This window comes from Homo sapiens, chromosome 1 (genome assembly GCF_000001405.40).
Source record: "Homo sapiens chromosome 1, GRCh38.p14 Primary Assembly".
In the NCBI taxonomy this organism is placed as follows: domain Eukaryota; kingdom Metazoa; phylum Chordata; class Mammalia; order Primates; family Hominidae; genus Homo; species Homo sapiens.
This window is the reverse complement of record NC_000001.11, coordinates 162,748,613-162,761,095: the sequence shown is the minus strand read 5'-3', so window position 1 is coordinate 162,761,095 and position 12,483 is coordinate 162,748,613. Positions and strand designations below refer to the sequence as shown.

General features: G+C 40.1%; 1 protein-coding gene across 8 annotated transcripts in view; it reads right to left on the bottom strand.

The window, feature by feature from the left end:
* DDR2 (discoidin domain receptor tyrosine kinase 2) overlaps positions 1-12,483 on the bottom strand; it is a 156,543-nt gene that overhangs the window by 26,310 nt on the left and 117,750 nt on the right. For all 8 annotated transcript variants that reach the window (NM_001354983.2, XM_047421554.1, XM_011509587.3 and 5 more), the window contains 5 exons: positions 7,899-8,001; positions 6,241-6,472; positions 5,793-5,940; positions 5,327-5,432; positions 1,117-1,300 (listed from right to left, as the gene is read on the bottom strand). In NM_001354983.2, the coding sequence (NP_001341912.1) occupies positions 1,117-1,300; positions 5,327-5,432; positions 5,793-5,940; positions 6,241-6,472; positions 7,899-8,001 (773 nt within the window). The remainder of the gene's footprint in view (positions 1-1,116; positions 1,301-5,326; positions 5,433-5,792; positions 5,941-6,240; positions 6,473-7,898; positions 8,002-12,483) is intronic.

Here is a 12,483-nt window from a genome sequence, read left to right as displayed (position 1 = left end):
GGTAAGAGGAAGACTGCCATCCTGCTTCCTCCTAGGTACATTTCAGAGCCAGTCTTCTTCTTTTCACAGGGCTAGGTGAGAAACCCAAAATAGTGTACAATCTAAAACAATTTCATTTTTTTTTTTAGAAATCTCATTTCTAAATGAGAATACACATATTCTCACATATGTGTGTATGTATCTATGTGTATAGATACACACACGAATCAGGGTAGACGGCAACTGCGGCTGAGAGGATTATAGACTCGAGAGAGTTCAAGGCAAGGAAGGGCTGAGAAGATGCTGGTGCAGTCCTCATTTAACAGATGAGAAAACTGCAGTCCAGCAACATGAAGTGAGGTGGCCAAGGGCAGACAGTGCATACAGGTAACCAGGGTTGCAGCCCAGGTTTTATAAGGCCTGACCAACTATCACTGCCACTGTGAGGTTCCTAGAAGGAAAAATTCAGAAGACTGCAGAACACCAACTACATATATATATCTAGTTGTATATGTATATACATATATCTAGTTGTATATGTATATACATATATCTAGTTGTATATGTATATACATATATCTAGTTGTATATGTATATACATATATATAGTTGTATATGTATATACATATATAGTTGTATATGTATATATATAGTTGTATATGTATATATGGTTATATATATGTAGTTGTGTATATATATATATCATTGTGTATATATATATAGTTGTGTGTGTATACACACACACACACACACACACAACTGTGCTGGTAAAAAGATAATCTTTGACCCTAAAAATTTATTTTTTTCACCTGATATTAAAAGAAATTAGAGCATTTTTATGCGTCTTAAAAATCTGTGGGCCCTGGACACTGTGTTATTGGCTTAATGGATATGTCACCTTTAGTGTCAAAACAACAAAAAAAAGAGAGCTCACTGACCTATTCTAACTCCCTTACACACAAATGGAGAATCACGCCCTTAGAGATGAAGTGACTTGTGAAATGCATTTAGCTAGTTAGTAACAGAATATGTCATTGAACTGGCATCAGCCTAGACTTTTTTCTAGCATGCCTTTTCTCTACCACACTATGATTTGTGCCTCCTTAAAGAAGTTCCACCACACCCGACCCCACTGACCTTCATGGTAGTGAAATTCCTGATGCGGTCAAATTCAAACATGATCTCAATGTAGCCATTGGTGGCACTCTCGTTCCGCCAGCCCACATAGTCATAGCCGGGCCACACGTGGTATTCATGGGTCTGGGTGAAATCGTCCAGGCCAGACACACCATCGGTCAATTGGCCTAGCCCTTCTGTCATGCTGCTCAGGCCAGGAGAAGAGGAGGAAAAGGAGAGAGAAATCTGAGTTAACCACACATTCGTGGAAGAGCTTTTACCCGGCATCTTCACTCCAGATTTTGTATGAGCTTATTATCTTGGAATTGAAGGATTGTAAATAATCAGATTTGCATTATAGTATTGACTCGTTTATCTTGCATCAATGGAGAACTAAGAATTTCATATTAGTAATTTTTATAAAATATTTGATGCTTACTCCTTTAGTAGTAAAACTTTTAAACAATGTCTTATTTAATATGAAAAGCTTTCTATAATTTATTGCACCTTGCCTATTCTTATATACTGAATATGTCTTCACATAATGACTTAATATTATCAAATGCATTTGATGAACTAATTCATAGAGTAAATGAGGAAATGGATAAATGCATAGAATGAATGCTACCATACATAGTAGCACTTGCCCCACTATCATATAAATGTTTCCAGAGCTTGGTGCTGACTCTCCTTTAACTACATATTGTCATTGTTCAGTGAATCAATTTCAGAGAATCCAGTCACACTCTCTTCTATTCCACATATCCAACAACCCAGTTTGATATTAAACTAAGGGGGAAAATACAAGCTCTAAATTTAAATAATAATTTCTATTTAATTCTAATTAAATTTGTAGGATACTAGACCCAGGAAGTAAGATGCAAGGATTTCATGAGAATCCCAGGTATTGGATTTAGTTTTGTGTTCTAGCTTAGCAGGCTTTTTTGACTTCTGAGTAAGAGGCTCTGTTTTAAAGGCTGAGTTTTCCAGAAGCCTGACTGCTGGATGGAATATAACTGCATGTATGCTTATTTGACTACTTAGAGAACACGAAGAGGCTCCTTCCTTCTTTTTATGGAGGGACAGAGCAAAAACCATCATGTGGAACTTCTCTTTCCTCAAGCTCTGCATCTCAAGCTCTGGCAGATATGACACAAATTTCCCAAATGACGAGATTGGGATACTCACCCTCAAGCAATAATTGGTGTGACCCTTGAGGTTTAGAGCTAGATCAATAATATGTAAAATTTGTGAATCGCAAAAAATAAAAAAATACTAAGGGTGATTATGCCAGCCTTTTAAAATATATTTAATCATTGAAAATGTTTGGTAAATTATAAAATTTGACTGGCCTTATCCACAGTGACCAGAGCCTGGATCTCCCTTCCAAGGTTTTGCCATCTTTTTCTTCTCTCTACAGATCAGAAAGCTAGGAGAACGTAAGTTTACTTGCAATAAATATATTTCCCATTATCCTCAGAAAAATAAATCCCAGGAAAGTTTTATGAAAAGCAACAGAAATTAAAAGGAATGCCTGTTCAGTTCCCCCTTGGTCAAAATTAAATCAAGTGAAGAAGGGATAAGAAAATAAATGTTCAATATTTATATACTTTAGAGTTATTAAAATCACCAGTAAGCATATATTATTCTTGAAATTGTTTTAAATTTAAAAAGTAACTTTTGCTAATATGACTATTTCCTGAGACTCTGATGTCATCTCTCAGTGGCTGAGAGGATCTCTTCACTCAGCCACCTCCACCAGATATTTCATTACTTCAATTATTAAATGAAAGCCAATGATGTCTACATTTTTGTAATTTTTTTTATCTTTCCCCTGGAGTTAAGAGCCATAATTCCGGCTACCTTCCTTATTTCTCTACTGAATGTCTTCTCAGTCTCACAGACCTACACTCCAAACTAAATCCATCATCATCCCCTACTGAACTAAGTCTTTCTCCTTGGTTTCCCTTTTCCATAAATTATACTTCTCTTCATAGTAATGGAAAATGCTTGGCGCAAGGTAAGCACTCAAAATATATTTGTCGAATAAATAAATGTCATCCCCATTGTTTCAGTCACTTAGACTGTCAAACTTCATCTGACCCTTTTTCTCACCCTACTGTTTTGCCTCATACATCCAATCAGATTTCAAACATCCTAAATGAATATCTTTTCCTCATTCCCCACAGTCACGGTTATGGCCTTGGTCATTAATTCTTTTTACTTGGCAGAACTAAGAGTTTTAAAATGTTCCTCATAGCCTCCTCATTCCATTCCAATCTAACCTTTGCATGCTGCTTGATTAATCTGTCTAAAGCACAGCTCCAATCATGTCCTTCCTCAGCTTTAAAAATCTTCAATGACTCATTACATTAATGATAATGTTTATGAAGAATAAGAACAGCAATTTCTCCTCTTCCTCCTCCTCCACTTCTTGCTCCTTTTGGCTTTGACTTCAGGTTCCTTCAAAATATGGCATAATCTGCTTTGTTTTGCTTCTCCTGCACTACTTTGCCACATAAATATGGCCCGTGGTTAAATAAACTGTTGATTTCTCCCAGACAGTCCCCTAAACTTTATAACCATGATTCTTTTTTCCTCATGCTATTATTCCCTCTGCCTAAAATTCCATTTCAAGATTCTGCACCTGTGAAAGTACTACCCATTCTTTGGGACCCAGTTCAGATTTCATCTGTTCTACCATATCTTTACTGGTCCTTCAGTCAGAAAAATGATAATCAGATAACAACTTATATGTGCATAGCAATTTATCTTACGAAATGCTTTTCACACACATTTTAATCCCTTAAGCCTTGTAGCAAACAGAAGTAACTTTTATTATATGAAATCCAGATGTTTTCATCCCCATTTTTGTGCTTTCCTACTATAGTTTACTTTTTCCTTTGAACCCCAGAGCAGTCATAGGCTATCTCTTGCTCATATACTTGAATCATAGTAACTTATATTCTGTTTTAGCCCCTACTCCAAATTGTGAGCACTTTAAAGGTAGGATCAATGACTCCATTACCTTTGAATACCTAACATGCCTGGCCAAATTCCTTGTATATAGTAACAGTTGATTAACAAAGGCTTATTAAATTAAACTGAATTCGGTTGATCTCTGATTTCCTCTGTGCCTTGAATACATGCCTGTTGGGGTGTGACTGAGCGAAATTATGCCAAGACCGTTTAAGCAAAAAGGAAAGAACAGTGATTAAGAAGATGGAAAGGAAGTGACTAGGAGTAGAAGAGTGGATGAATCAGGTCTTCACCCAGGGGATGGCAGCTAGAGGGCAATAGTTCATTCTCCACACCTAAGCCAGTAGAAGGCTGTAATTCCACACTCCCTTCCTGAGACTCACTAGTATCTCCTTCTCTCGAGCCCTGTCAACCTCCATCATCTGGTCTGGTCTTCACGATGGACTGAATTCTCTCCCAGGCTCACTTTGCAGATGCAGACCAAGCTTAGAGAGAAAAGTGTTAGTGTGGGCTAGAAGAATGGCAAGGCTTAAAGGCTTGAAGTGAAACAGTATAGGTGGGAGCATCCTGTACCCAACCCTAAGTTCCTACTATATCTGGTCACACTTCTTTGCCATGGCACTCCTTTGATCCACTTCAGGCTTATCCATTGTTCCATTCTGTTCTTCTCAACTCCAGCTTCTACTATAGCCAGGTCAGTCTTGCCTTCAGCCCTGCTTCCTTTCTTCTGCTACCTTCTACCTACCTTCCTCTGCTACAATTCTCATCTTAACCTAGAACTTTCCTTGTCTATTGTAAGTCTTACTAGTCCCCTTTTTACAAATTTCAAAGCATTTATATGTATAAGGTCTATTCTTTCTGACTTCTTGACTTGCCCAGAGTATTATACTTATTACTTCAATTCTCTGGCCCTTTGTTTCCATAAGTAGGTCAATATTTGTGTCAGACTACATGTCCTGTTTTGAGGGTCAAAAATATGGCTATTATACTTAGAGCCATATCACAAACTTTAGCCATTACTTTGTGTAATTGATTGTTTTCTGGGTAATTAACTTGTCTTCCCAAACCGGGCTTTAAGTTCCCTGGAAATAAAGGTCATGTGTATTCCTTCATCTAAATTATTTCCAAATGCCTTGTACAAGAACTAAATAAATACTGATTGGTTGATTGATTATTGATCCCAAGACATGATAAAATATTATTCTTTCTTAGTGGCCAATTTCCCATTCTAATAAAGTTTCCCAGGATTTACCTGTATCCAACAGCTCCATCATAGACAGAATCATTCAGATAAATGATGGAACCTCCAGGGAGTACAAACTGCTGCCCAGCTGGAGCATTGTAAGACACCAAGCCATCTGCAAAGGAAACACAGCCAAGTGAGTGCCTACTGCTCAGGCCCATTACCTCAGGGAACTATGTGAGTTTCAAGGGTATAAGCTTGCACAGCGTGTCCAGCAGGACTCCATCTGGACACCGAGGGAAGACTTTGGAGGAGTGCCCCTCCATGGCAGTCAACGTAATGACTCTGAATGCATGACTCAGTGTGGGGCCCTAAGCCCTGGGTTAATGAGCAATGCTTCTGTCTCTATTCTTCCCAAGAGGGCATCACCATTCCAGGAGTAACTGATCCCATCCCTTTCTGATTTGATTGCCTTCATTTCCCAGAAGTTGGAGTTTTTAATAAAGTCTATAGGCTTCCTGGGCTAGTGACCTACCTAGCCAGACACAGCCGTAAAGCTCCACTCTCATACACACATTCATGGAGTGGTCGGTGACTGGAATGAACCGGACAAATCTGGCTACAATGGGCGGCTCCAAGTCCTTTAGGAAAATGTCATAGGGGTTACTATTTCCATCCAGCACCTGAGGAGAGAGAAGAGAATGAGTGAAGAGGTGGTATTAAATCATGCTCACTTTTCTTCACCCCACCACGTTTTTGATGGACTCTCTCTTCTTAATTCGAGGAGCAGAATGCATCTACTCTGCTTTCCCCACAGCCTTGATATTCCTTCCCTGCCTCCCTCACCCTGGGTCACACATTTACAAGGGCATGCCTGGTCTGTGGACACACATATCCACACAGAAAACCTGTACCCTTCTTCTCCTAGCCTAAGTCAAAATATGGTCTTGGACATCCAGGATCTGGATGTCTCTTCTTCCTACCTGTTTCCCATGACGGTTCCGCCAAGAGATCCAGCGAGTGCCATCCCGACTGTAATTGATCTTGTACATGGGGGCAAACTCGATGCCATGACCTCCTGCATGGCGCCCCTGGGTCCCCACCAGAGTGATAAAATGGAGGGTGTGCAAGTCAATCTGCAGAAACTCCTTCAGGTCATCAGGTTCCACTGGAATCTCAGGGCACCAGGCTCCATCCCCTTCTTCTGAGTCCAGCCTTGAGAGGTGAGGGTTGGGGAGAGAGGGAGCAACCATGAAACCACAGAGCTGTTTACTGGTTCACAGGCAAGCAGCTGCCCTGTACTGAGGGGAGAGAGCAGGCTGTCCTTATAAACATTTTGGGTTCTTGCCACAGTTTTCACTGCCACCACAGTACCCATTTGTGGTCAGATCCCTTTCCCTGGAGTACCATGAGACCCTGAAAGACAGTGAGCTGAGGCCTTCAGATCACACATAGCCTTCACTTCCCATCCTGATTTAGAAGCATAAAGAGAAATAAAACTCTTCCTACTCTCTGTTCCCGCATGAGTCATTTCATATTTCCCTTCCCTCTTTCAAACTCAGCCTAACAAAGCTAGCCACCCTTTGCTTGGACATCAAGTTATGGCAATAGGGAGGAGGGATAGTAGGGTCTCCAGTGTGGGTTATGCAATGCAGCAGGATGGGCATTGCAGACCAGCAAGGAGCCATAGAAACACATGGGGAGGATGAGGGGGAAGAGCATGTCAAGGAAGTAGTAAATAATCTGGTTTCATTTTATTACCTTCAGGCTGAGCTACCACTGAGCAAAATTGTGAAATTATTATAAAGTTTACTTTGAGAACTCCCTACCACTTTTCCTCTCCCTTGGATTGCTCCCTTTTCTCACAGATATTACCCATTCATTTGTTGCTCCCTTCCAATTCCACCTACCATCACTCTAGTCTTTCATACACTAAGAAATTAAGGGGAAAGGTTCATCAGGATTCATTTTCTTATGGGTAATTCCATTTTAATAAAATCAATACTTCACAAAATAATAAGATTCCAGGTAGAGTATTGGGTCCAACCAGTAGAGCAGTAGGGAGTTTATTGATGTACAAGACCCCTGAAATCAATCGCCCCAGGAAACTGCCACACTCTGTCTGTTGGCAAGGATGGCCCTTCTGTGTAAGAGATCCTTGAGAGAGGTGGAGAACTTGTTGGAGGCCTCAGTGTCTTGATGCTTGGCAGTGAGTGATGCTTTGCAGTGAGTGATGTTTCATAGACCCACTGAGAAGAGGAGTGGATGCTAACTCCCAGTGTCCTACATAATCTGCACCTTCCCATAGGTGCCACTGTTGCCTGCCTCCTGCAGCAGCTCACAATGAGAAAGTCAGGGAAAGCAAATCCACTTCCTATCAATGAACCCATTCACTGTGGGTAATGTGGCCCTGGGGCCTCTGTGGTTGAGATGGGGCTGCCAGACCAGTACATGTGGCTAAGTCCTAAATTCTCTCCCTGAAAACATACAGAGCAGGACAGGCCCACTTGCTGTCTGTCCTTCATTTCTCAACAGTTCCTGCCAATAACACCACCTTCCCCAGCCCCTAGGGTCAGGAATCTGTGCCCAGGAAATCTGCCCAACCCCAGAACATGGGCTTTCTTGATGTAACCATCCTCACCTTCCATATTTGGCAGCTGTGGACTCTGACCACTGACTGGAAGCTGTGATGTCCTCATCTGGAATCTGGCCTCCTGACATGCCCAGAGGATAGCGGCATATAGCTAGACCAAGAGAAACCAAAGAGAAAAGAGAGGACATGGTTTTATTTTTATTTCCAAGCCCCCTAGGAAGAATATCACTGAATATTGAACAAGGAATAAGAGAATTTACATCTTCCTAAATTCCTCTATGGCCCCAGTTTGATCACCCTGACTCTATCAGACTTGTCTTCCTGGCCCTGACTCCAAATACAATTTGGGCCTCCGAGATTTGACCCCCAGCCAAATCTATATTTTGGTTCAAACTCTGACAATCAATGTAATACAATGTAATGTGCCAATTTATGCTTTGTACTTGGTAATAACCCCAGTGGCCCATCCCATTCTCTTATTAGAAGATGTTTACTTCTAATCAATTTCCTGACAGTAGTGAGGAACCCTCATAATCACCAGGCGCCTTTATGACCCAAAGAATTATTTTTTTCAGTAGTTAATTGCATAAAAACTATAAAGAAACTACACACTCACCTATGAAGGGATCAAACACACATTTTTGGCCCTGGTTAGAACCATGTTCTGGCTCCTGGCTATAAACAATAACTTCTGGATACAGACTTCCACTTTCAACCAAAGACGGAGTAACAGAGACCAGATTTGCTCTCCAGTGTGAAACAACCAAAAAGGACAAAATATATGAAAAATTATGTTTTAAGATAATGAGCATCTGACAACGAAGGACAACAATCTGAGAGTCAGGAAACAAAAAAGTTGACCCCTACGGTGGCATCAGCTTACTGGCATGAGAGTGTGTCCAGGATACAACACAATGAGTGGGAACTCAGGCAGAGCCTGGAGAATTTCCTGAGTTGAGGAGACAAAAATGGGAGTCCAGAGAAGTAAAGGAAGCTAGAGTCTCAGGACACCTGATTGCCAGATAAAATAGAGTATACCTAGTTAAATTTAAATTTCGGATAAGCAACAAAAGTTTTTTTTTTTCTTTTCTCTTTTTTTTTTATTATACTTTAAGTTGTAGGGTACATGTGCACAATGTGCAGGTTTGTCACATATATACATGTGCCATGTTGGTGTGCTGCACCCATTAACTCGTCATTTACAATAGGTATTTCTCTTAATGCCATTCCTCCCCCGTCCCCTCACCCCACGACAGGCCCCAGTGTGTGATGTTCTCCGCCCTGTGTCCAGGTGTTCTCACTGTTCAATTCCCACTCATGAGTGAGAACATGCGGTGCTTGGCCTTCAGTCCTTGCGATAGTTTGCTCAAATGATGGTTTCTATCTTTATCCATGTCCCTACAAAGGACAAGAACTCATCCTTTTTTATGGCTGCATAGTATTCCATGGTGTATATGTGCCACATTTTCTTAATCCAGTCTATCATTGATGGACATTTGGGTTGATTCCAAGTCTTTGCTATTGTGAATAGCGCCACAATAAACATACATGTGCATGTGTCTTTATAGCAGCATGATTTATAATCCTTTGGGTGTATACCCAGTAATGGGATTGCTGGGTCAAATGGTATTTCTACTTCTAGATCTTTGAGGAATCGCCACACTGTCTTCCACAATGGTTTAACTAGTTTACACTCCCACCAACAGCGTAAAAGCATTCCTATTTCTCCACATCCTCTCCAGCACCTGTTGTTTCCTGACTTTTTAATGATTGCCATTCTAACTGGTGTGAGATGGTATCTCATTGTGGTTTTGATTTGCATTTCTCTGATGACCAGTGGTGATGAGCATTTTTTCATGTATCTGTTGGCTGCATAAATATCTTCTTTTGAGACATTTCTATTCATATTCTTTGCCCATTTTTTGATGGGGTTGTTTGATTTTTTTTCTTATAAATGTTTAAGTTCTTTGTACACTCTGGATATTAGCCCTTTGTCAGATGGGTACATTGCAAAAATTTTCTCCTATTCTGTAGGTTGCCTGTTCACTCTGATGGTAGTTTCTTTTGCTGTGCAGAAGCTCTTTAGTTTAATTAGATCCCATTTGTCAATTTTGGCTTTTGTTGCCATTGTTTTTGGTGTTTTAGTCATGAAGTCCTTGCCCATGCCTATGTCCTTAATGGTATTGCCTAGGTTTTCTTCTAGGGTTTTTATGGTTTTGGGTCTAACATTTAAGTCTTTGATCCATCTTGAATTAATTTTTGTATAAGGTGTAAGGAAGGGATCGAATTTCAGCTTTCTACGTATGGCTAGCCAGTTTTCCCAGCACCATTTATTAAATAGGGAATCCTTTCCCCATTGCTTGTTTTTGTCAGGTTTGTCAAAGATCAGATGGTTGTAGATGTGTGGTATTATTTCTGAGGGCTGTGTTCTGTTCCATTGGTCTATATCTCTGTTTTGGTACCAGTACCATGCTGTTTTGGTTACTGTAGCCTTGTAGTATAGTTTGAAGTCAAGTAGTGTGATGCCTCCAGCTTTGTTCTTTTGGCTTAGGATTGTCTTGGCAATGCGGGCTCTTTTTTGGTTCCATATGAACTTTAAAGTAGTTTTTTCCAATTCTGTGAAGAAAGTCATTGGTAGCTTGATGGGGGATGGCATTGAATCTATAAATTACCTTGGGCAGTATGGCCATTTCCACGATATTGATTCTTCCTACCCACGAGCATGGAATGTTCTTCCATTTGTTTGTGTCCTCTTTTACTTTGTTGAGCAGTGGTTTGTAGTTCTCCTTGAAGAGGTCCTTCACATCCCTTGTAAGTTGGATTCCTAGGTATTTTATTCTCTTTGAAGCAATTGTGAATGGGAGTTCACTCATGATTTGGCTCTCTGTTTGTCTCTTATTGGTGTATAGGAATGCTTGTGATTTTTTGCACATTGATTTTGTATCCTGAGACTTTGCTGAAGTTGCTGATCAGCTTAAGGAGATTTGGGGCTGAGATGATGGGGTTTTCTAAATATACAATCATGTCATCTGCAAACAGGGACAATTTGACTTCCTCTTTTCCTAATTAAATACCCTTTATTTCTTTCTCCTGCCTGATTGCCCTGGCCAGAACATCCAAACTATGTTGAATAGGAGTGGTGAGAGAGGGCATCCCTGTCTTGTGCCAGTTTTCAAAGGGAATGCTTCCAGTTTTTGCCCATTCAGTATGATATTGGCTGTGCGTTTGTCATAAATAGCTCTTACCATCAATACCTAGTTTACTGAGAGCTTTTAGCATGAAGGGCTGTTGAATTTTGTTGAAGGCCTTTTCTGCATCTATTGAGATAATCATGTGGTTTTTGTCTTTGGTTCTGTTTATATGACGGATTAGGTTTATTGATTTGCATATGTTGAAGCAGCCTTGCATCCCAGGGATGAAGCCAACTTGATTGTGGTGGATAAGCTTTTTGTTGTCTGCTGGATTCAGTTTGCCAGTATTTTATTTAGGATTTTTGCATGAATGTTCATCAGGGATATTGGTCTAAAATTCTCTTTTTTGTTGTTGTTGTGTCTCTGCTAGTCTTTGGTTTCAGGATGATGCTGGCCTTATAAAATGAGTTAGGGAGGATTCCCTGTATTTCTATTGACTGGAATAGTTTCAGAAGGAATGGTACCAGCTATTCTTTGTACCTCTGGTAGAATTCAGCTGTGCATCCATCTGGTCCTGGACTTTTTTTGGTTGGTAGGCTATTAATTATTGCCGCAATTTCAGAGCCTGTTATTGGTCTATTCAGGGATTCGACTTCTTCCTGGTTTAGTCTTGGGAGGGTGTATATGTCCAGGAATTTATCCATTTCTTCTAGATTTTCTAGTTTATTTGCATAGAGGTGTTTATAGTATTCTCTGATGATAGTTTGTAATTCTGTGGGATCAGTGGTGATAACTCCTTTATCATTTTTTATTGTATCTATTTGATTCTTCTCTCCTTTCTTCTTTGTTAGTCTTGCTAGCGGTCTATCAATTTTGTTGATCTTTTCAAAAAACCAGCTCCTGGATTCATTGATTTTTTGAAGGGTTTTTTGTGTCTCTATCTCCTTCAGTTCTGCTCTGATCTTAGTTATTTCTTGCCTTCTGCTAGCTTTTGAATGTGTTTGCTCTTGCTTCTCTAGTTCTTTTAATTGTGATGTTAGAGTGTCAATTTTAGATCTTTTCTGCTTTCTCTTGTGGGCATTTAGTGCTATAAATTTCCCTCTATGCACTGCTTTGAATGTGTCCCAGAGATTCTGGTATGTTGTGTCTTTGTTCTCATTGGTTTCAAAGAACATCTTTATTTCTGCCTTCATTTCATTATGTACCCAGTAGTCATTCAGGAGCAGGTTGTTCAGTTTCCATGTAGTTGAGCAGTTTTGAGTGAGTTTCTTAATCCTGAGTTCTAATTTGATTGCACTGTGGTCTGAGACAGAGTTTGTTATAGTTTCTGTTCTTTTACATTTGCTGAGGAGTGCTTTACTTCCAACTATGTGGTCAATTTTGGAATAAGTATGATGTGGTGCTGAGAAGAATGTATATGCTGCTGATTTGTAGTGGAGAGTTCTGTAGATGTCTATTAGGTCCACTTGGTGCAGAGCTGAGTTCAAGTCCTGGATATCCTT